The sequence below is a fragment of the Homo sapiens genome, chromosome 16, assembly GCF_000001405.40.
Source record: "Homo sapiens chromosome 16, GRCh38.p14 Primary Assembly".
NCBI classification, from domain to species: Eukaryota; Metazoa; Chordata; class Mammalia; order Primates; family Hominidae; genus Homo; species Homo sapiens.
In genome coordinates, this window is record NC_000016.10 from 20,824,321 (window position 1) to 20,848,942 (window position 24,622).

The 24,622-nt window shown below is 38.7% G+C and overlaps 1 protein-coding gene and 1 long non-coding RNA gene across 12 annotated transcripts in view; one reads left to right on the forward strand and one right to left on the reverse strand.

The window, feature by feature from the left end:
- Positions 1-24,622, forward strand: part of REXO5 (RNA exonuclease 5) — a 43,241-nt gene that overhangs the window by 17,896 nt on the left and 723 nt on the right. For 5 of the 11 annotated variants that reach the window (XM_011545963.3, NM_001199053.2, XM_005255604.3 and 2 more), the window contains exons 7-19: positions 119-207; positions 1,513-1,628; positions 2,738-2,876; positions 3,033-3,127; positions 4,115-4,217; positions 7,836-7,939; positions 8,683-8,803; positions 15,435-15,539; positions 16,011-16,148; positions 19,614-19,706; positions 20,309-20,525; positions 20,734-20,921; positions 21,901-22,019. In XM_011545963.3, the coding sequence (XP_011544265.1) occupies positions 119-207; positions 1,513-1,628; positions 2,738-2,876; positions 3,033-3,127; positions 4,115-4,217; positions 7,836-7,939; positions 8,683-8,803; positions 15,435-15,539; positions 16,011-16,148; positions 19,614-19,706; positions 20,309-20,525; positions 20,734-20,921; positions 21,901-22,019 (1,627 nt within the window). Of the gene's footprint in view, positions 1-118; positions 208-1,512; positions 1,629-2,737; positions 2,877-3,032; positions 3,128-4,114; positions 4,218-7,832; positions 7,940-8,682; positions 8,804-15,434; positions 15,540-16,010; positions 16,149-19,613; positions 19,707-20,308; positions 20,526-20,733; positions 20,922-21,900; positions 22,020-24,622 lie in introns of those variants that run through there. The other 6 variants (XM_047434726.1, XM_017023739.3, NM_001144924.2 and 3 more) reach the window with 4 other exon arrangements.
- Positions 6,259-15,491, reverse strand: LOC105371121 (uncharacterized). The gene is made up of 2 exons (XR_950900.1): positions 15,407-15,491; positions 6,259-6,485 (listed from the first exon to the last, which is right to left on the reverse strand). It is a non-coding gene; the product is annotated as an uncharacterized LOC105371121 (long non-coding RNA).

The window sequence follows — 24,622 nt, forward strand, 5'->3', positions numbered from 1 at the left end:
TAACATACCAACATATCTGACTAAAATATCTAGTATTGTAGTTTTACCTGCTTGAATCTAAGAGTGATGTTTACCATCTCTATTCTAAAGGCAAACATTTTCTTCCTTTTTCTCCTAGGTTTTCCTGATTGTGAAAACTTTTTACTTACCAAATGTAATGGTTCTATAGCAGACAATAGTCCTCTCTTTGGACTTGACTGTGAAATGGCACGTACTACTTTTAATTTTTCAATTGGAGTGTTGCAAGCTGAGGTCTAGTAGAAAATGATTTCTTGAGTCTAATGCACTAATGAACGAATACATTCATTTTTAGTATTCTGTTTTAATAGCTGAAAGTAGGTCCTTTTACTCACACTTTAGAAAACTTAGATCTGTATTCCAGGATAAAGAATAAATATCACATAAGTGGCTGGGTGCCGTGGCTCACACCTGTAATCCCAGCACTTTGGGAGGCTGAGGCGGGTGGATCATGAGGTCAGGAGATCAAGACCATCCTGGCCAACATGGTGAAACCCCATCTCTACTAAAAATACAAAAAATTAGCTGGGCATGGCAGCATGCACCTGTAGTCCCAGGTACTCGGGAGGCTGAGGCAGGAGAATCGCTTGAACCCAGTAGGCAGAGGTTGCAGTGAGCTGAGATAGCGCCACTGCACTCCAGCCTGGCGACAGAGTGAGACTCGATCTCAAAAAAAAAAAATCACGTTTTCCAACTAGTTACTATGTTTAATCAGGTCTTTGCATGTTGCTAGAAGTTGATTCCTTGTGTTTGAAGAAGTATTTTGTTGTTGCTGCCATGAGGACTTTGCCTTAATTGTTGGTTTGGCTTAGTTTTACACCTTGAAGATCAGAAATAGGATTTCCCTGCTTAAGTTCCCCTCGTGCTTTGCTTTATCTAATTGTAGTAAGCCTCTTTTCAAAGACAGTGCATCCCCTCTCAGTACTCAGGAAACAGTTTCTCAATTCTTAATAGAGTAACTAAGACCTAAAATTTGAGAATCTGACATATCAGGGTGTATATCCTGTCCTTGCCTGTTAGTGGCTATGTCGCCTTAGACAAATACCCCTAACCTATCAGCCTCGGCTTCTCCCTCTGTGAAGTGGGGGTAATAATAAAGCCTACCTCAAAAGGTAATTATGAGAGTGGCATATATAAAATTCTTAGTACAGCACTAGCTGATAATAGAATGGGCTTCATAAAAATTACCTATTAGTGGTATTTAGCATAATACTGGATATAGTACACACTCCATAAATGGTAGATACAATTATTAATATTATTTGCATTCATCTTCTTTGTGCAGACTACACTGTGTTGATCCTCTTAAGTGTAACATTCAGCAGCCTGCCCAGCTTTAATTTCACTCACACTAGATCCTCTAGAAAGCAAGTTTGTGCCATTGCTGCAGGGACCCTGGTAGATTACAGTAGATGGCAGTTGACATAGTGTAAATAGTAAGAAGAAGCAATAACTTCCACAGTTCAGCAGCCTGACTACATGTTGGTCTTTCAGTGCCTCACATCCAAGGGGAGAGAGCTAACACGCATCTCACTGGTTGCTGAAGGAGGCTGCTGTGTTATGGATGAACTGGTCAAACCTGAAAACAAGATTCTGGACTACCTCACCAGGTATTTTTCACCTTGCCTGCAGCTCTTCTAAGAGCTATCGGGCTAGAATGGAATAATACTTAAGAATGGCCCACAGCTTCAGTTTAGTTAGGTTTTATCTACTTAAATATTATCAAAGGTTAGGGCATCACATAGGTATATTTTAATGCTGAAATTGCACAATGTCAGTGTATAATGCTCTTGCCCTTCTTGATCTTCAATCTTCTTGTGACCTTAAGTCAGCAGAATATTATCTTCCTTGTTCCAGAATCTCCCAATTATAATCATTATCTACAACTGCCAAACAGCTAGAGCTTTGCTTTCTGATAAGACCTCATCTGAAAATCTGCAAGTCATCATTTGGCAGTCAAGTGATGTTAGAGCTTAATCTGCCTTGACCCCCAAAACACAAACAAATATTTTTCATAACAGAAATTTGAAGCTGAAAATGTTAGTCTACTTTTCCAAAGATTAGCATGTAATCTCAGAATGTACACACAGTGACTAGGCAAGAAGCCAGTGAAACATTACTGTTCCCATCCGTTGACGTGGCACCAGTAGATTCGTGATGACTTAGGGACAGAGAGGCAATGATAGTGATAAATACTGTCCTATTAGCAGACTTGACAATTAGATTCTTAGAGAACAGTCACGTGTGGCAAAGTTGTATGCACAAGCATGTTTGTCACAGTATTGCAAAAATGTGAGTATATAAATGTCTGAAAGTAGGGGATTAGTTAAAATATGCTGTATCTGTATAATGGAATACTCTGTAACCATTTAAAAGGATGTGCTAAATAGATTTATTGATGTGCAAATGTGTTTATGACATATTATAAATGATAGATTCATTGTAAAGCAGCTCATGCATTATGATTACATTTTTATAAAAATTAAATATATACCTGAATCTATATCAAAAGTATGGAACGACATTTACTAAAATGTAAAAAAGCAATCATCTCTGGGTGATAGGATTATGACTAATTTTTAATTCTTATTTGTCACTTTGGACACTAAGCATATATATATTAACAGTAATTTTAAAAAATGTTATTTTTAAAATCACTTTCCAGAGAGGAAAACTTGTTAATATCCTAGCCTGTCCATTTCTCTTTTTTTAATGAAAGCTTTTCGGGAATCACGAAGAAGATTCTTAACCCAGTGACGACCAAACTCAAAGATGTACAGAGGCAGTTAAAAGCACTGCTTCCTCCTGATGCTGTGTTAGTGGGCCACTCCTTAGATTTGGATCTCAGAGCACTGAAAGTGAGTATCTGATTTAGGACTTTGCATTTTCAGTATAAATGCCTGTTCCATTTATCTCAAATCTAAAGTCTTGGGCTCTTCTCTCCCACCCTGCTAGCCCACTTGTTTTTTCCTTTAGCATAAGACACTACTCATTTTATTCTCTTTCTTCCTCAGATGATACATCCATATGTTATTGATACATCGTTGCTTTATGTCAGAGAGCAGGGCAGAAGATTTAAGCTCAAGTTCTTAGCCAAAGTTATTTTGGGGTAGGTTTGCTTATATGCTGTAATATTGTTCTGACAAACTGCATACAAGTTAGCATGTAGTATCTAATTTAATGCATATTGCAAAATTCAGGGTTTCTGCTCTCTTTGCTTTAAACATGTTTTTTTGCATTTCTTATGAAATGAAGAAATTGTAGCAATAGAGACAGGGGTTTACATTCACAGTCGAGGCTTAATGGACAGAACTGAACCATGAAGGCAGAAGAGGTAACCAAAATTTCAAAACATAACATACCTATATGCCTATACAAGGTAGTATAACATACTTATACTGTCCTATTGTATTAAGACACATATGTACAAAGGTGTTCATTATAACATGGTTTAAAATAGCAAAATAGAAAACCTCAAATATTCTAGAAGTCTGGTTGAGTAAATTATGGTTATCTGTATTATTGAATATTTTGTTGTTCAGAAGAATATGATAAATCTGTTTGTGATATGAACACCTCTCTAAGACACTCCTGAGAATAAGGGATGCAGAGCAAGATCTATATATGCCTCAATATTTATATGATATAGATTAGATTTAGTTCTATCTATAAATATATACATATATTAAGCTTTTTAAAAACACCTAAGAAAGTATTTAAGTATGTATAGACACTTATATACAAATAAAAAAGTTTCAGGAAGGCAACTTTAAACAATGGTTAGATCTGAGAAATGGGCCTGGTCCATTTCTTAGAGAAGGGCCTGGCCAGGGAGTCAGCCAGAAACTTTTTGTTGGGTAGCCTTTTGTCCGGATGCTATGCTTGCTGTGAACAAAGCTATTCCTGATTGTTTTGCACCCCCAGTTCCTCTCGCAGGGCTGGGCAATTAGCTGGAATAAAGGAACCTTGATTTTTGTGATGCAAATCTAATTATCAGAATTCTAACATTTTATATGTAATCAGAACACTTGAGATGGTTGAAAAAGCCTATCATTAAAAGTGCTTCCAGTATGTCAATTTTATATTGACTTTCCAGGAAGGATATACAGTGTCCAGACAGACTTGGTCATGATGCCACAGAAGATGCTAGAACAATCCTTGAATTGGCTCGGTATTTCCTTAAGCATGGCCCAAAAAAGGTTAGTATCTTTGCCCAGTGTGTTCACCTTTTCTTAAAATCATGGGACTAGATCAGATTATCACAGACTACCAACTCCTATTATCTATTTTTATGAAAATGGCAGTGTGGGCCAGGTGCAGTGGCTCATGCCTGTAATCCCAGCACTTTGGGAGGCCAGGGTGGGCAGATCACCAGGTCAGGAGTTCGAGACCAGCCTGGCCAATATGGTGAAACCCCGTCTCTACTAAAAATACAAAAATTAGCCAGGTGTGGTGGCGCGTGCCTGTAGTCCCAGCTACTCCAGAGGCTGAGACAGGAGAATCGCTTGAACCAGGGAGGCAGAGGTTGCGGGGAGGCAGAGGTTGCAGTGAGCCGAGATTGCACCACTGCACTCCAGCTTAGGTGACAGAGCAAGACTTCATCTCAAAAAAAAAAAAAAGAAAAGAAAATGGCAGTGTGATTGAATCCTAAAAAAAGAAAATGGCAGTGTGATTGAAGCCTAGCATGTATTTCGAATTAAGACCCATATCACTAGCATAATGTGGTTAAGTATATAGTCCCTGCAGTTGGGCTTATCTGTTTTAAAATATATGTTCTACTATGTCTAGCTGTATAATCTAGGGCAATTTCTCTGAACAACATCAGTTTTTGGATCTATAATATGGGAATACACACTTTTCTGGGATATTGTTGAGAGTAAATGAGATATTGTGTATAAAATTCTTAGCACAGTGTCTTGAATATACTAAGCACTATCCTGGTGGTGTGGTGATTATTGTAGTTAATACTAATAATTATAAAAAATCTGCATAGATTTTTGTTTTCTTGGAGTAGGGGGAGCATACAATTGTTTCAACAGCAGTTCAGTGGGTAAATGTTAGAACAACACATAAGGGAGACATGGAAGAGGACATAGTCTCTGACAAACTTTATTATAATGCATTCTAACCTATTAGATTGTCCCATTGCATAGTACATTCCATCATGACTCCATTATGAAATAAATTGTACTCCACATAGAATAATAAGTAACAGCCAGAATAGTCTTTTGTGTCAGGTGGTAGAAAGACATTCTAACAGATCTTCTTTGAGCATATAGATAATAATAGCCACCACTCACTGAGGTCTTAAGTGTACTGTTCTAAAATGCTGTATATACATTATCTTATTTAATCCTCACAACAGCCCTGTGAGTTAGCTATTATCATTCCAATTTTATACATGAGCCTTTCGAGGTTACCAAAGGTTAGATAACTTATCTGAGGTCCCACAGTCAGTCAGAGGTGGAACCAGAATTGAAACCCAGGTCTGTCACATTCTGTCTTTTCTGTATACCAGGGATTAGCAAACTTTTTCTGTAAAGGCCAACTAGTAAATATTGTAGGCTTTGCAGATCATATTGTCTTTATTGCAGCTACTCAACTTGCTGTGGTACTGCAAGAGCAGCCATAGACATTATGTCAACACTGGTGGGCACAGCTGAAATAAAACTTTATTTATTTACAAAAAAATATGTATTGGTGTCTGCTAATCTCTGCTCTAAATCACTACAATAGGTTCTAAAACCCTTTTGGTCTCATGACTCTTTTTATATTGTTACCCACACAATGGTGTGTTCAGTCACTTAGTGGGTGTTAACCCAATGACCACTACCAAGGAATATTTATTTTTATTTTTATTTTTTTTGAGACAGAGTCTCACTCTGTTTCCCAGGCTGGAGTGCAGTGGTGCGATCTCTCTTCACTGCAGCCTCTGCCTCCCCGGTTCAAGTGATTCTCCTGCCTCAGCTTCCCGAGCAGCTGGGATTACAGGTGCCTGCCACCACACCTTGCTAATTTTTTTTTTTTTTGTATTTTTATTAGAGATGGGGTTTCACCATGTTGGCCAGGCTGGTCTCAAACTCCTAACCTCAGGTGATCCACCCATCTCAGCCTCCCAAAGTGCTGGGATTACAGGCATGAGTCACTGTGCCTGGCCCAAGAGGATTTAACAAGGGGATTTTATTACTTTGCAACAAGTAAGAACACCAGGGATAGTTCCCAAAGCACTATCTCCCCAAATGAAGGCAAAAGCAGGGCTTTTATTTTGCTAGTCGGCTGAGTCATTGCATGTAAAGGCAGGGTTTGTTCCTTGACACATACATGTATAGAAAATGGAGAATAAGTTCCTCCCTAGGTGAGATTTTTAGTATGGTAATGCAGAGAGTTTGCCAAGTTCATCTCTAACTTCAGGCATCTCTGGTTCCAGCTGGTTTTTATCTTGCTGTAGCTGGTGGTCTTCCTGTACCCTTTTGAAACAACAAGGTGCAACAGGGGTTACACTTTTATAGTGTGCACCTGAAGACCCAGGGACTCTGGGTTACAATATCTATCAACATTTACCATATTAGAAATTAAATAAATTTTTAATATTAGTTTAAGATAAATAAAAAGCCATTATATGTTAACACAAATCACTTTTTTTCTTTTTCTGTTTTTTTTTTTTTTTTTTTTTTGAGACGGGGTCTCACTGTGTTGCCTAAGCTGGACTGGAACTCCTGGGCTCAAGGGATCCTCCTACTTCAGCCTCCTGAGTAGCTGGAACTTAAGCATATACAGCCACTCTGTCCAGCTACAAATAACTTACTTTTATGGAAAAAAGAATTTTCCATAAAAATTAGTGGAAAGAACATCATTGTTTTAGGTATTTTTGTGAAACCTTTTAATATCTAGCTTAATAGAAAACAAGTGGCTTTTCATATCTGCTTTCACATTCAGTCTGTTATGTCACATAGTTGGAGAAGGAAGGACCTCACCCCTTGTGAGAAGATGTCTGGAAACCCCAGGATTCTCAAACCACACTTGGGGCACTTAATTATGCTTGATTTCCAGTGAAAATTGTGTCTCACTTGGATAAAAACTAACCAAATCTGAATTAAGCATGGGCTTAATTAATAATAATGCATTACTATTGGTTCATTAATTGTGACAAATGCACCATACAAATCTATTACTAATAGGTAAAAATGGAGGTATGCTATATGGGAACTCTGTACTATTTTCATAATTTTTCTGTAAATCTAAACTGATTCTAAAAAAAAAGTTTATTTTTAAAATTTGTAACTTTAAAAATTATTCTCTCTACATCACAACTCCCTGGTGGGCTCCCACTTTACGGAAGGAGAAGAAATAACTAGAATAGACTTCTCATGATTTTGTATTAAACTAATAAATAGTCTTTTTAAAAAATTTTCCTGTAAAAGCCATTCTTTTATCATTTCCAAAATTGCATGTTTGCAGAGAAGTAAATTTTAAGTGACTCAGAGAAGTAAATTTTAAGTGACTGACTGTTGGATGAGTGATGAGCCAAAATTGACATCCTTTTTCAATCAGCCCTACTTGGCCCTTCCCCATATTCATGTAACAATGTTAGTAGCTGATAACAGATTGCCGGTCTTGGCTAAGCAACCATAAACCATCTGGTAACTATTGAAGCCATCCCAGGGCTGTGGCAATGGCAAAGCCACTGCCTAAGAGAACAGAGAACATTATTCAAGTGGATTTTTTGCTTTTTGTTGTTGTTGCTTTTTGTTTTGTATTTATTTGAGCATCAAATGCTCTGCAAGCAATTATATTTTTACCACTTTGTTTTCTTCAAGATTGCAGAACTAAATCTAGAAGCACTAGCTAATCACCAAGAAATACAAGCAGCAGGCCAAGAGCCTAAAAACACAGCAGAAGTACTTCAGCACCCAAACACAAGGTAATATTTTCAGTTTGAAACAAGAGCAAAGACAAATGGAGTATCTAGTTTCTTATTTAACAACACCTGAGAATGTTTTTATCCTCTTTTGAGTCTATTAAAAACTATTTACCAAAAAATGATAACATCTATCACAAAAACCACGGAAAAAATACCACCTTCTAGCCTTAATATATAGTATTTAATTTCTAATTTTCTGAATCTAGTGGCTGGTCTAAAATGATATCCTTGATCAAAAAAAAAAAAAAGAAAAAATAATTGGAATACGTTGAACCTAGGTAGCACTGGGAAAGATGATAGACTAGTTGGTATTTTGGCTAGAAGAGTCAATCTGTAGCCTTGTTGTATTGCCCAGACTATGAAAGACACACACACAGACTCAAAAGGGCTTTGTCTCCAGACTATAGCAAATGTATCAGATCTTTAGAATTTTGCCTAATCTTTTGATAGAGAGCTTTGGGTATATTTCTTGTTTATCCTTCCTCTCTCTATTGAAGCAACACTGTCCAAAACAATTTTCTGTGATGATGGAAGTGCTCTACATCTGTGCTATCTCGTTTGGTAGCTGCTAGTCACATTTGACTAGTGCAGTTGAGGAACTGAATTTTTAATTTTATTTAATTTTAATTTTAATAGCTATATATTGCTAGTGGCTACCATATTGTATAATGCAAGTATAGAGAAATAACTGTCAGGTTCTGGAAAACTGTTGTTCTTACCTTAACTCTTCTACTTCTTTATAGTGTTTTAGAATGCTTGGATTCAGTGGGTCAGAAGCTTCTTTTTTTGACCCGGGAGACAGATGCTGGTGAACTTCCATCTTCCAGAAATTGTCAAACTATTAAGTGTCTTTCAAATAAAGAGGTGAGTGGCCTGCTGAACCTTTGCAGGTTATATTCAAAGCAGAGGGGAATGTAGCCCTTTGCACCCATGCCAGTGTCAAGCTTTTTTTCATCAGCAACCCTGGCTACAGTTAGCAAGCCTGGCTTGTGTCTCACATCTTGTATGGAGTACCTAAGTCCTCATAGGGGCAGAACTGTCAGCTGCCAATGCCTGCTTCCAGAGCCCAGCAGGCCTCTGGCTTTGGTCTTGCATACATCTTTGAGTTTCTGTTGTGTTTCTGGTTCATGGAAACGTTTATCTTGGTTTTGAGCCTGGCTATATCCTTTCGATTTTTTCTTTTTATATTTTATGTATCATTGCTGTATGTTAAGTCAGAGAGGCTACATCAAACATGAGCTTATTATGTTATCATATTCAGAAGATCTGTGTTTGTTTTTTTTTAACATTTTGTTTGTAAATAATTTCAACCTTACAGAAAGCGTGCATGAATGGTAGAACACCTGTATACTTTCTGTCTAGATTCACCTTTTTTAGCACTCTGCCCCAGTTGCTTTATTATTTTATATGTACCCTCATGCTTATGCTCTCTCATGTACACACTCTCTCTTTCTTCCTCTCTGTATGGCATTTCCTGAACCATTTGAGAGTAAGCTGCATATATCATGGCCCTAAACACTTCAGAGTGTATTTCATGAGAATAAAAATATTATTTTATATAACCACATCTTAACATAGTTACCAATTTTAGTAAATCTAATATTGTCCTGGTACCTTTATCTACTTGTCATCTGTATTCTAATTTTCTTGGCTGACCAAATAATGTCTTTATAGCATGTCTTTTCCCTTTAGAACAGTATCATTTCTAGGGTCATGTATTACAATTACTTGTCATATCTTTTTAGTCTCCTTTAAAGCTGTAACAGTTCCTCAACCTTTCTTTGTCTTTCATAACCTTAATACTTTTTGAGTAATGCATGCCCCCCTCCCTTTCTTAGCAGAGTTGCTTATTTTAGGTTTGTGTGGTGTTTGCTCATGATTAAATTCAGATTATGCATTCTTAGCCAAATTTCTTGGGGTGTTGCATCCAGAGGCAGTTATTACTCATCTGCCCCTCTTTTGTGCTGTTTATTTTGATCACCTGGTCAAGGTGTTGTCTGCTTTCTCTATTGCAGAGTTCTTGTTTTTTCTCTTAATTCTAATAAATATGTGGGGAGATATTTTAAGAACATGCCAGTATCGCTTGAGCGCAGGAGGTTGAGGCTGCAGTGAACTATGATCGCACCACTACACTCCAGCCTGGGATTACAGGTGTGAGCCACCAGGCTCGGCCAAGTGTTCTTTTTTATGCGTCTTTTGCTTGAGCTTGTTGAGCTTTTGCAATTTGCGGGTTTATCATTTTTATCAAATTAGAAAAAATGTTGACCATTATTTCTCCCCATTATTTTTTCTTTCACCACCCTCCCCTCCTTTGGGCACTCCCATTGCATATGTATTAGGCCGTTTAAAGTTGTCCCATAGCTCACTGATGTGCTGTTCATGTTTTTTCCAGTTTTTTTTCCTGTCTGTTTTATTTTAGATTGTTTCCGTTGCTATGTCTTAGGTTTCTAATTCTGCTGCAGTATCTAATCTACTGATAATCCAATCCAGTGTACTTTCACCTCACACATTGTATTTTTTACCTCTAGAAGTTAACTTTTGTTCTATTTTGTATCTTCCATGTGTCTAGTTAACATTCAGACTTTCCTCTAGCTTCTTAAATTTCAGAATATAGTTACAATAACTATTTTAACATCCTTCTCTATTAATTTGATAATCTGTGTCATTTTTAGATTAACTGAAATTGATTGGTTTTTCTCCTTATTATGGACTATATTCATTCTTCTTTGCAGCCTGGTAGTTTTTGTATTGGATGCCAGACATAGTGAATTTTAATTTGTTGGGTGCTATATATTTTTGTATTTCTATAAATATTTGTGAGCTTTGGTCTGAGATGTGGTAAAGTTACTTGGAAACACTTTGGTCCTTTTGGATCTTCTTTCTTTCTTTCCTTCCTTCTTTTCTTATCTTTCTTTTCTTTTCTTTCTTATGTTGCCTAGGCTGATCTCAAACTCCTGGCCTCAAGTAATCTGCCCACTTCAGCATTCCAAAGTGCTGGGATTACAGGGGTGAGCCACTATGCCTGGCCAGATCCTTTTGAATTCTTGCTTTTAAGGTTTGTTAGGTGAAACCAGAGTAAATTTTGTCCCACTACTGAAGCAAAACCATACTAAGTACTTAATCTCCATAAATTATGAGATTTTACACTCTAGCTTTTGGGAATCTAAACCATTCCTGGCCTTGTGTTAGCCCTTGCGATTGTTTCCTCTAATCCTTTTGGGCATCCTTTCCTTGACCTCGCATAGTTTACTTACATGGATACACTAATCCCTACTCAACTGAATATTTGAGGGGGATTATTTATAGATCTATCGGTTTCCTATCTTTAAGGATCACTGTCCTTCATTTTCCAATATCCCGAGAACTGCTGTTCTTAGGAATTTTTTTTTTCTTCCTGAGCACTTACATGGGCCTCAAGGGCTCTTTGGGCATTATTATTGTTATTTTAATAGACTTTTATTTTTAGAGCAGTTTTAGGTTCACAACAATATTAAATGGAAAGTCTAAGCTGGGTGCAGTAGTTTACACCTGTAATCTCAGGACTTTGGGAGGCTGAGGTAGGTGGATCTCTTGAGTCCAGGAGTTTGAGACTGACCTGGGCAACATGGCGAAACACTGTCGCTACAAAAAATTAGCCAGGCCTGGTAGCACATGCCTGTGGTCCCAGCTGCTCAGGAGGCTGAGATGGGAGGATTGCTTGAGCCCAGGAGGTGGAGGTTGCAGTGACTGACGTATGATCGCACTACTGCACTCCAGCCTGGCAACAGAGACCCTGTCTCAAAAAAAAGAAAGTACAGAGAGTTCCCATTTACCCCCACACCCACCCACACAAACAACTTCCACCATTATCAACAACCTGTACCTGGGTAGTACATTTGTTAAAATCAATGAACCCACTATGACATATAATTACCAAAGTCCATAGTTTACGTTAGGGTTCTGTCTTGGTGTTGACAAATGTATAGTGACATATATCTACCATTATAGTATCATACAGAATAGTTTCATTGGCCTAAAAATCTGTGATGAATGTGCTCTGCCTGTTGGAAACCACTGATTTTTTTTTTACTGTCTCCATAATTTTGCCTGTTTTAGAAAGTCACATAGTTGGAATCATATAGTATATAGCTTTTTCAGACTGGCTTCTTTAACTTAGTATATGTATTTAAGTTTTCTCCATGTCTTTTCACTGCTTTATAGTTTTTTTTCCTTTTTAACACTGAATAACTATACATTACCTAGATTTACCACAATTTATCCATTCACCTGCTGATAGACATCTTGGCTGCTTCCAAGTTTTGGCAATTATGGACAAAGTTGCTATAAATGTCTGTGTGCAGGTTTTCATGTGTACATAAGTTTCAAACACATTTGGGCAAATACCAAAGAGTACAATTTCTAGATTGTATAGTAAGAATATGTTTAGTCTTGTAAGAAACTGCTGAACTTCTGAAGTGTCTATGATTTTGCATTCCCACCAGCAGTGAATGAGAGTTCCTGTTGCTCCACATTCTTTTCAGCATTTGATGGTGTCAGTGTTTTGTTGGATTTTGGCTATTCTGATGGATATGTATTAGTATCTCATTGTTTTAATTTGCAGTCCCCTAATGACATGTAATGTGAAGCATCTTTTCATATGCTTATTTGCTATATGTATCTCTTCTTTGGTGAAGTGTCTGTTCAACTCTTTTGCCCATTTTTAAAATTGGATTGTTCATTTTCTTATTGGTGAGTTTTAATAGTTCTTTGTATATTTGGGTAAGAGTCCTTTAACAGATAAGTCTTTTGCAAATATTTTCTCCCAGTCTGGCTTGTCTTCTCATTCTCTTTATCGTATATTTTTTATAGTTTCTTAGGTGTTTGAGGAGAGAGGGTAACTCTACTCTTTGTTATTCAGTCTTGACTGGGGATGGAAATCCTTGTAAGTTGCATTTGAGAAACTTAATGGCAATCTAATTTTCTTGGCCTTTTAAGTTACTTTTACTGAGGATTTATTTTTCCCGTTTTGTTTAAAGTCTAATTGTTTTACTAAGCTATGTCTCAGAGTTGATCATTCCAAGTCACTTTTTATTGGTACCCAAGGCCCCTTTCAATATTTAGGTTATAGTTTCTTTTATTTCCAGAAGGTTTTCTTGGATTGTATTTTCAAGTATTTGGTTCCATTGCTTTAATTTTCTTCCTCATGGACTTCACTTATGCATATATGTTGTTCCCCGCTGGCCTATCTTTCATTCACCTACTTTCTCTCTGATCCTTTTGATTTCATTTGTATACTCCTAATTCTTTCCATGCTTTTCATTAATGCCCTTTATTAAAATTTCACTTGAATCTATTCTTTCTTGACAACTTGTAGTTGCTTTTTCATATCCTCAAATGCTTGGCTGCTAATATTCAATTCAGTTTAGACCGTAATGTTAACTGTATCCTTTAGCCCCATGGTTGATTTTTTTTTTTAGGGGGAATAATTTTCATCAGCTGAAATGCTTCGATTCTCACTTTATGTCTTGGCTTTTGTTTTTGTTTTTGAGACAGGGTCTTGCTCTATTGCCCAGGCTGGAGTGCAGTGGCGTGAGCAGAGCTCACTGCAGCCTTGACCTCCGGGCTCAAGCGATCCTCCTGCCTCAGCCACCCAAGTAGCTGGGACTACAGGCATGTGCCACCATGCCTGGCTAATTTTTAAATTTTTTATACAGATGAGGTCTCATTATGTTGCCCAGGCTCGTCTCAAAACTCCTGAGCTCAAAATATCTTCCCACCTTGGCTTCCCAAAGTGCCAGGATCACAAGCATGAGCCACCGCGCCCAGCTGTTGCTGTTTTTTTAATAGTAGTTTAGATTAATATGGTCTACTATTTTCTAATTTTACTGATTTGTTTTTGAACAAGGTTTTCATTCAAGAGCATCTCTTTTATTCTGCCTTCCTCAGTGCAGTTTTTTCTTCTTTTTTTGTGCTTTTCCTCTACTTATCAAGGGATTCTCTCTCCCTTTCCTCTCCTGCCTCTCTTCTTATTGTAGTAAAAAACATAAAATTTACCATCTTAACTGTTTTTATGTACATAGTTCAGTAATGTTAGGTATATTTATATTATTGTGAAAGAGATCTTATAACTTTTTTATTTTGCAGAAGTGAAACTTGGGCTATGTTTCTTTGTATGCCTTGTGACTTATTGTTGTTGGTATTGTTGAGGCTTGGGCATTTGAATAAATACCCAGTTGTTGTCTTTACAGACTGCTTCGTGCAGGGGAAGACCTTCACCAATCAGCCTAGTTAGAGATTTCATGACCTCCCAAACCTGTTCTGGAGATTTGTCTTCTCTGGGGTTATGCATGTGCCTTTAGTTGTTCCCTGAGCCCCTTGTCCCTACTTCTTTTCAGAGCCCATAATCTCTTTCTTCCCCTGGTTTCTTACTGCAGCTCTAACATGCCATGGTGATCACATCTGTTTTCAGTGGCTTCCAAACAAGGCCTTCTTCAGTCCTGTCAGCCTTCCGAGTCACGCAAAACAGAAAATAGTCCCTCAGACAGCCCCCACAGTACCCAGAACATTGGACACATGGTCCCCTCTTTTTTTTCCATCCCAAGAGAAGATCTGTGGTGTGGAAGAAGCCATATTATGTCAGATAGGGAGAGGTGTAGATGGGACCACAAAACATCACAAATTTTCCTTTCCCATTTACTGGAAACCCTTCTTGGTTTCATGCTGGTCTAGGTGCTATATAGTTTCTCATGGAATCTCTACAGTTCTCTCAAAGGTGTTCTGGTCCGTATATTGTTGTTAACTCATTGTTTCTGTGAGAGTGAGAGGCTGAAGTGAAGCTTCCTAGTTCTCCATTTCCAGAATGATGGTGTGGTGTTGAGGGAAGGGAGGAATTTATAATATTGTTCAGAAGAGTTGGCATTCTTCACAGCAGTGTCTCCAAGGAGTACCACCTTTTCTCTATATATCTGATTCTTCTCCAGAAGCATGGCTTCTCTGAGGCTGCCAAGCCTCTTGCTTGTAGTCAAGTGCTGAGAACTGTCAAAATCATGACCCATGTTCCTTATTTGACATTTAATTGGAGTTTTTATTTTGGGGTTTTTTTATGCTTCATCTAATTCTTCCATGCCCCTTGATTTTTTTTTTTTTAACCAAATCTATTAAGCCTCCTCTCCCTTGCTTTCCCTACTCACAGGCTTGCAGCAGTTTACAATAGTGGGAGTTACACTTATTTATTTAATTACAGGTCATTTGAAAATTTTTGTAATAGCCCTTGTCTCTTAGTAATGCCGAAGGTATGGCTCATATGTATTTTATTTTTATTCTTTTTATTGATTCTGTGGTTCTTTGGGGAAGGTGTGTGGTTTCACCATTTTCCTGCAGACCTGGAAGTCAGCCCCATATTACCTTTCAGTATGCGTAAAAAGACAACTACTGTTTATATTATTGTGGCTCATATCCAGGAGCCACAATAGAGTATGAGGTTCCTACCTTATCCAGGCTGTGCTGTTCTCTACAGGTTCTTGAGCAGGCCAGAGTGGAAATCCCCCTGTTTCCCTTCAGCATTGTTCAGTTCTCTTTTAAGGCCTTTTCACCTGTCCTCACTGAGGAGATGAACAAAAGGGTAAGTGAATGGGTTCTGCTGAATGATTTATTTAGTGACTTATTATAACCTCTCATCATTAAGGAAAGTAATACATGCTTTATTTAATTTGTTGTGTTTTTCTCTAGATTTTTACTATCTGCATATTAACATTTAAAAATATTTTTATGAAAATGGGAATCAGACTATGCATACTGTTTTGCAACTTTATTTTTTCATTTAACAGTATATCATACATCTTTCTGTATCACTACATATCTTATTTCCCTTGTTTTTAATGGCTACATAGTATTCTGCTATATGATATACCTATTAACATTTGTGCTTTATACATTTTTGCTATTACAAATAATACTTCAGTGAACATCCTTGGACATTTGGCAAGTATTTATATCAAAAAAATCTTTGGTGAATAATCCCATGCATTGACTCATGATTTCAGTTCTCTTTCCATATTCATTCCCATACTATATTCTGTTGTTTTTCCTACAGATGAGGATCAAGTGGACAGAGATATCAACTGTCTATGCTGGGCCATTTAGCAAAAATTGCAATCTCAGGGCTCTGAAGAGGCTGTTTAAAAGCTTTGGCCCAGTCCAGTCAATGACTTTTGTTCTTGAAACCCGTCAGGTAAGACCGGAAAATTCAGATTTCATTTTCTAGATTAGTGTTAGACATTCAGGTGACTGCTTGGGCCATGCAGATAGCAAATATTCGTAAAGTAAGCTTGATTGCTACCAACTGGAGTGTGAGACATACTCTAATGAGAGCAGTTGTTGACCCACAAGAATGTATACCCAGTATTGTGAGATCTTTTGTTGTGTGTGTTTAAAGAATTGAGAAATCTGGCTGGGCGCAGTGGCCTATACCTGTAATCCCAGCACTTTGGGAGTTTGAGGAGGGAGGATTGCTTGAGCCCAGGAGTTCAAGACCAGCCTGGGCTCAAGCAATGTGAGACCACATTGCTACAAACAATTTAAAAACAAGAATTAAGAAATCTGTCAGTTTTCATATGTTGGCTCCCATTTCTCAAATACCAGGCCATACGAAAAAATATGTCTGCTGGTTGAATATAACCTGTGGTCCTTATGATTGTACCTCAGCTTTAAATGATAAAATACTCTTTCAAAAAGAGAAGTAACTTTCATATCTTAGAAAGTTACTTCTTTTTTTACATTACAGAGTAGGCTCATGGCTTGCTTGGTTAAGATACAGGAGGAAGATTATGGGAGGGCTTTTGTTGTTATTGTTATCTCTTATCTCTTAGGGTAAGTTTTTGGTATTGTAGGTTTGTATTTACATAAAAGCCCTTTAAAGAGATTAGTTTTACTTTAACAAAAATAATACTTGCATATGGTTTTAAAAATTTATGTAGTTCAAAAGGACTTCACAAGTTATGTCTCCATCTTCACAGTCATAACAATACCATATCAATAGATAAAGTTTATATGTGAAGCAATAACATCATAAGCATATAGAGACATGGAAGAAATCATGAAAAGAAAAATGGAAACAGTGTAATGTAGGATGTTTGTAGAATGATATACAATAAAGGTAACAATGGAGGCCTCTAGGGGGAAGAATTAGGCAGCTAGCTAATGGGATTAGGGGAAGACTTCACTGTAAATATATTGTTCCTTTAGAATTCGGAACTAGGTAACTATTAAACTGGTGTATTACAATGTATGAAAGTGAAGTAAAAACACTTCTAAAGTGATCTAAGTGCAGGATCCTAGATATTTTAAAATGGCTGTCTCTAAATTTTTTAATTTAATTTTTATTTTATTTTTATTTTTGAGACAGAGGCCCAGGCTGCAGTGCAGTGGTGCCATCTTGGCTCACCACAGCCTCTGCCTCCCCAGTTCAAATGATTTCTCATGCCTCAGCCTCCCAAGTAGCTGAGACGACAGGTATGTGCCCCCACGCCTGGCTAATTTTTGTATTTTTAGTAGAGACTGGGTTTCACCATATTGGCCAGGCTGGTCGCGAACTCCTGACCTCAAGTGATCCACCTCCCAAAGTGCTGGGATTACAGGCATGAGCCACTGCACCCAGCTTCCAAATCTTTTATTAATGGCTTTTCTATGACTAAAAATAAAAATACAAAGATTGTCCCTGAGAAGATGGATTGGGGGATGAGAAGTGTATAGCAAGGGACTATAACATCTTCCTTTCTCTTGGCCCCTTTTTTTGGTTGCGGGGGTGGCGGGTAAAATACATATAAAATAAAATGTACCTTTTTAACCATTTTTAAGTGGCATTCAGTATGTTGATATTGTGCAGCTATCATCACCATCCATCTCTAGAACTTTTTCATCATCCCGAACTGAAATTTCCTATTAAGCAATAATTTCCTATTACCCCTCCCCCCAGCCCCTGGTAATCATTGTTTTACTTTCTGTCTTTATGAATTTGACTACTCTGTGTACGTACCTCACATAAGTGGAATCATACAATATTTGTCCTTTTGTGTCTGGTTTATTTCATTTAGCATGTCTTCAAGGTTCATTCATGTTGTAGCATGTATTAGAATTTCATTTTCAAGGCAAAATAATATTCCATTTCATGTATATACCACATTTTGTTTATCCATTTGTTGATGGACATTTGGGTTGTTTCTTGTTTCTACCCTTTGTTTTGTTTGTTTTTTTTTTTTTTGAGATAGGGTCTTGCTCACCCAGGCTGGAGTTCAGTGGCGTGATCACAACTAACTACAGCCTCAACCTCCTGGGCTCGAGCAATCCTCCCACCTCAGCCTCCTGCTGGGACCACAGGCATGCACGCCTGGCTAATTTTTTGTAAGACAGGGTCTCTCTATGTTGCCCAGGCTGATCTTGAACTCCTGGACTCAAGAGATCCACCCACCTTGGCCTCCCAAAGTTCTTGGATTACAGGCGTGAGCCACTGTGCCTGACCCTGGGTTGTTTCTACCTTTGACTATCATGAATAATGCTGCTATGAACATGGTTGTACACATATCTGTTCAAGTCCCTGCTTTCAGTTCTTCTGGGTGTATACCCAGAAGTGGAATTGATGGATCAAATAGTAATTCTATGTTTAATTTTTTGAGGAACCATTATACTGTTTTCCACAGTGGCTATACCATTTTACATTCCTACCAGCAAAGAACAAAGGTTCCAACTTATCTACATCTTCACTGACACTTGTTTTCTATTTTATTTAATAGTAGCCATCCTAATGGATGTGAAATGGTATCTCATTTGGGTTTGATTTGCGTTTCCCTAATGATTAGTGATGTTGAGTGTCGCAGGCAATTTGTACATCTTTTACAGCAAAGTCTATTCACTTGTTTGCCCTTTTTTTCTTATTTATTTTTTTCAGTTCCAGCTACTCTGCAGTGTTTGCCCATTTTTAAATCAGGTTGTTTGGCTTTTTTATTGTTGAATTGTAGGATTTCTCTGTACATTCTGGATATTAATCTTTTATTAGCTATGTGATTGCAACTATTTCTCCATTCTGTGGGTTGCTTTTTGACACTGCTGTTAGTGTCCTTTGATATACAAAAGGTTTTAATTTTTATGAAGTCTAATTTGTCTATTTTTAATTTTGTTGCCTGCCTTTGATGTCATATTCAAGAAACCATTGCCAAATCCAGTGTCATGAAACTTTTCTATGGGAAGGCTTTTATCTCCATATTGATGCTATGGCTCAGATAATCACAAAGATTTAGTTACTCCGAGTTAACAAACAGAAAAGCAGACCATTTGAAGATGTAGCCTATCCAGTGGAAGAACTTATCCTTCCCAAGCTTATAAAGTTAAGCCAAAAGACAAATGGGAATCTCTGCCCGTGACTTGCAGTGATGACTTTAGTGATGCATAATAAATATTATGAAAAGCCTGTTGGGTAGTTCCATTTTAAATGACAAAGTTATTTGTTGTCTGAAAGCTAGTTTCTGAACTTTGATGATCCCATTTAAAGTTGACAGTTTACAATCAATACTTGTGTAGCCCAGCACAGTAAAGGCATCCATTCTGGTGGCTTTGGCCACTGTAGTTTGAATCCTTTCCCCAACCCCTTCTTTAGCAGTTTGAGCTGGAAAGCAATGATGAGGAAATCTTGGTCTTTCTGCAGCCTCATCTCTGTATACAGTATGAAGTCCTAGAAGCTGCCCAGCTGGCCATAGAATCCTTGGATGGTATTCTGGTAGATGGTATCTGCATCAAGGTAGGGTGACAAGAGAAAGCCCCCTTTGCTTGGGTCTGGCCTACCACAGCCTGTATTTATAGTGCCCCAGGACATATAGGAAACACTCTCAAGAGGCCCACGCACAAGACTTTGTTATGGAAAGTCTTCAGCCAAGTCTAACATTCTCCTACTGGCAGTGATTGAAGACATAACGGCTTTCATTTGTGTCAGAAATCATCCTGGGCTAGATTTGGGTCTTCCTTGCATTCTTTGTTACTACTTAAGTCCCCTGTGGTTTATTCTGGTTGGTTCTTTGTGGTTACCCTTTTCTTCACCTTTCAGGGAGATCAAATGGTGGTATTTTGAAGTTTCTTGTGCACATAAACAGAATTTCATTAAGGGTGGGAGGCAGGAAACTGAAGAGAATATGTTTACATGAAAATATGTATTTATCAATTAAGTCTCTAACATAATTCTGTGAGGCCATTATCTTTAGTTTCCTTTTACAGAAAAGAAAAGAAACGGAAAATTTTAGGAAACTGAAAAATGAAGTTATTAGTAATGGCAACAACTTGCTAGTATCCAATAGGCCTGAGGATTAAATTGATTTTCTACCACTAACACCAACTTTCCTTGGTTAGGTGCAGAGGCCTGTGACAGAGCTCACGCTTGATTGTGACACCCTCGTGAATGAGCTGGAAGGAGATTCTGAAAACCAAGGCTCTATATATCTGTCTGGAGTGAGTGAAACCTTCAAAGAACAGCTATTGCAGGAGCCCCGCCTCTTTCTTGGCCTGGAAGCTGTGATCTTGCCTAAAGATCTTAAAAGTGGAAAGCAGAAAAAATACTGTTTCCTGAGTAAGTCTATGCTACTGAATGTAGCTTTGGGGAAGGAAACTGGGGATGGTGATAACATGAGGTCAGAGAAAGGAAGATTCACCTCCTGGGCTGGACCAGGGCAGCAGTTCCTGATTCTGTCCTTCTCCTTTGACCCTGGCCAGGCAGCTTGGATGGTGATCAGCTTTCTTGGCCCTTAATAACATAAGGTGGGGGTTCTTGCTTTCAGAATTCAAAAGTTTTGGCAGTGCCCAGCAGGCCCTCAACATTCTCACAGGCAAGGACTGGAAGCTGAAAGGCAGGCATGCCCTAACCCCCAGGCACCTCCATGCCTGGCTCAGAGGCTTACCACCTGAATCAACAAGGCTCCCAGGGCTTCGTGTTGTACCTCCCCCCTTTGAACAGGAGGCCTTGCAGGTGAGTGAGTGAAGGCGTCTTGGAGAAGATGTCAGGAGAGTCCTGCTCAGTGACACTTAATCCTTTAATCTTTTTTTTTTTTCTACCCTGGCCCTCAGTCTTATTTCACTCTCCAGCTTCCTCCAGTCCTGGCCACATCTTTTCTCGCAGATCTCTCATACTTTTGCCCCCACCATACCTGCTAAACTTAGTTTTTTAGTCTTCCAGATCTCCAAGGGACTTTGAAGGACAAAGGCAGGAAGTCAGAGAGCTGGACAATTATTCAGTGATCTAGTCTAGGGTTTCCCAAAGTGTGGTATATACACAAGATAAATTGTGGTTGTCATAGATGGTCTTTTCTTTTTTGTTTTCACTTTTATGATTATGGACTTGTCCGTCTTTTTATTATATCTAAGACATCTGAATGGACTTGTTTTGCTAATACTTGTTAAAGTATACAATAACTACATTGAGCCTATGATTTTGTGGATGGCATTAGTTAGACAAGGCTAAGGAAGAAATTAACTCACTTTATGGAAAAATGTTAGAGGGATATACAAGCAGAAGAGTGGAGGTAGAAGGTAAATGGCTGAAGCTTGGGAAACCCTGTCTTAGTCTAATCTCTCATACTTAACAGATGAAAAGTAGGGGCTAGAGTTGGTAAGTCACTTGCCCAAGGTCACAAAGAGACTTAATGGCAGAAGCCAGACTAGACCCCTCATCAGCAATGTGGCTCCCCTAGCTTGGGGTCTTGGAAGACCCATGTGGAGGAAAGGACAGTAGCTGTCCTCCCCTGAGGAAGTCCTTAGCCAACTTGGAGGCCTGGGGATGCTGGGTCAGCAGAGAACCTGCAGTGTGGGCTCCAGTGTTAGAAAAGGGATTTGTCTGGAACCTTTACTGGAATCCCATAGCCTTAGAGGCAGAGGAAGAGTGTTGCAGCCCTTCCAAAGGTAACGAGAGAGTGTTCTGGCTGAGTATCGACACATGGCTTTGATCCCAGACTCTGAAACTGGACCACCCGAAGATAGCAGCCTGGCGCTGGAGCCGGAAGATTGGAAAGCTCTACAACAGCTTGTGCCCGGGCACTCTCTGCCTCATCCTGCTGCCAGGAACCAAGAGGTAAGGACTAGAAAGGGTATCCCTTCAGGACTCTGTCCCCTGGATTTCAGCTGTTCTTAGAGAAAAAGCCTTTTGCTGATATTTAGGCACATAGTGAGGACTTACATGAATCATCTCTTTAATTTTCACCGTTCTAAAAGATAGGCATTGTATTCCCATTTCACATTTATATGCTCTTGTATAACTACATTTATTGGTCCCTCAAGGAGATAATTTATCCCCAGTTAAAACCAGGAGTCTTATGTCCTTACTGCTCTCTGGAGTAAGAAGTAGCTGCTAACCCCACTTGAGTAAAAAAAGTAAAGTCTCAGAACAAGCCCTAGGCTTAGGTGTAACCACTCTACATGTGAGGAATGTGTTCCTGCCTTCTGTACCCTTTTCCCCATTGACACCTATGTTTTAAGAGATAACAGGGCCTGGTTTGCTGATTCTAAGCCTGAGGAATACTGGAGCAGGACTTTGAGTCTAGTTGCAGCTTTATCACCTATCTCCTCTGACAAGTGGCCAAGCTACTTCCCCACTGTAGGTCTCAATGTCCTTTTAGTAACATGAGGGATTTGGAATAAATCAGTTGATTTTCAAACCCTTTTAACTGTAAACCCTTTCTTTAAAGAAAAACTGATATTAAATCTTAAAGCATAAAGATGGGCAGTTTTGGAATGAGTGAGTGGGCAGCTAAATGAATGAGTGTATATTGGGGAAGGGAGGGAAAGATGGTGGCTTTTTTGAACAGTGTGAAAACCTTGGGTTGTGTTAATTTTTAAAAGTCCCTTGAGATTCTGACATCTGGTTAGGCGCAGTGGCTCATGCCTATAATCCTAGCACTTTAGAAGGCCAAGGTGAGCGGAGCACTTGAGCTCAGGAGTTCAAGACCAGACTAGGCAACATGACAAGACCCTGTCTCTACCAAAAACACACACACAAAAAAAAAAACAAAAAAAAAAAACCCAGCCAGGTTTGGTGTTGTGTGCCTGTGGTCCCAACTACTTGGGAGGCTGAGGCACGAGAATCACTTGAACCCAGGGGGCAGAGGTTGCAGTGAGCTGAGATTGCACCACTGCACTCCAGCCTGGGCTACAGAGTAAGACTCTTATCTCAAAAAAAAAAAAAAAAAAAGATTCTTACATTCTAGGAGTTGACAGAGCATGAATACCTCTGGCCTTGAAGGTGGATCAGAAGAAATTCATTTCCTAGCATAAAGTTCTTATAACATGCATCTGAGGACCATTAGGGAGATGGTCTACCTACTGGGCACCTTTGAAAGAACCGCTTTCTCTGAAAAGCAGAAACAAGTATTAGGTGCTTACATTGAGGGGAAAAAAAATCTTAGACCAACATACTTTAAACAGGCTTGTGGGTAAGCTAACAGGAACAGGTTAAAAAGTGACCACAAGTTGCCAGTAAAAGCTTTTTGGTTAAGATGTGGGCTCTGGGGAACAGACAGACTTGCTCCTCAGGGGCAGTGTATGGTGGTAGGTGGACTGGGTTTTCATGTTCTCACGTAGAATACTTAGATTACAGTCCACCATTGTTTAGGTAAACTAAGTCAAGAGTAGCCCAAATCATTGTTCTTCCTGGATGTTCCACAGAGGGTGAAGCCAGAGGAGGAAGTGCTGGGGTCAGGGAGCAAAAACACTTAAGTTGTGACTGAGACAAAGGTCCTAAGTTTGACAAGTCAGTAGAATTAAGCACCCCCTGGAAGCAGCAAATCCTGTGGTGAAGAAACCTGAACTACTCCTATCCTTTAAAAGTCACATTCTGATTTCTGTAGACATATTGATCAAACTCAGCAGCAGTAGCATGCATTTCCCCAGGCTGTGGAAGCTTGCTGTGTGACTGACTTCTCTGGGCCTTGTTTGTGCAGTTGTGTCCGTGATGGCAGCAGATACTCTTGGGAAACGTTGGGGAAAAAAGGAATAGCAAAAACAATAGAAGGTTTCCTTAGGCTGGGGTCTTGATGCAGCTCTTAATCCTTACATTTTTGGTAGCTTCTTAAATTAATATTGAAAACAACAGTAATGTATTAAACCCAGGTACTGTGCTAAATGCTTCTATATGCATTTTTGGTTGAGGTTGTCAGAATCTTTACTGAACAAGTGGAGAAAAAGTCTCAGATTAACCAATTTTCCTAGGGTCACATAGCTAGTAAGTGCATAGTCAGGACTTGTACCCTGATGGTGTGTCTGACTCCAGAGCAACTCTCCTGCCCTCAAAGCTCTAGTTCTCCATACACAAAAGTCTAGTGTTTGCATGTTTAAGTTCATACATCAGGTGGAGACAGATTCTGTGTTTGTCTTTGCTCATTTCTACCTGCTTTGCCTCAGAGAGCTCCTCAACGCTGACCCAGTTCCATGAATATTCATTACAAGGTGGCAGGGAACTAACAAGTATTGAAGGCTCCTAAATTCCAAGCACCACACCAGGTTTTTTACAACAAACATTGTTAAATAAGTTAATGTTTTGTAACTTTTTTAAACAGCCTCTGGCACCTAGCAGGTGCTACAAAAGTATGGAATGAACAAAGACTAAGACTCTTTAACAGCAACTTATAAGGGATCTAATGACAGATTGCTATTATTGATATCCTGGTTCTGTCACTTAAC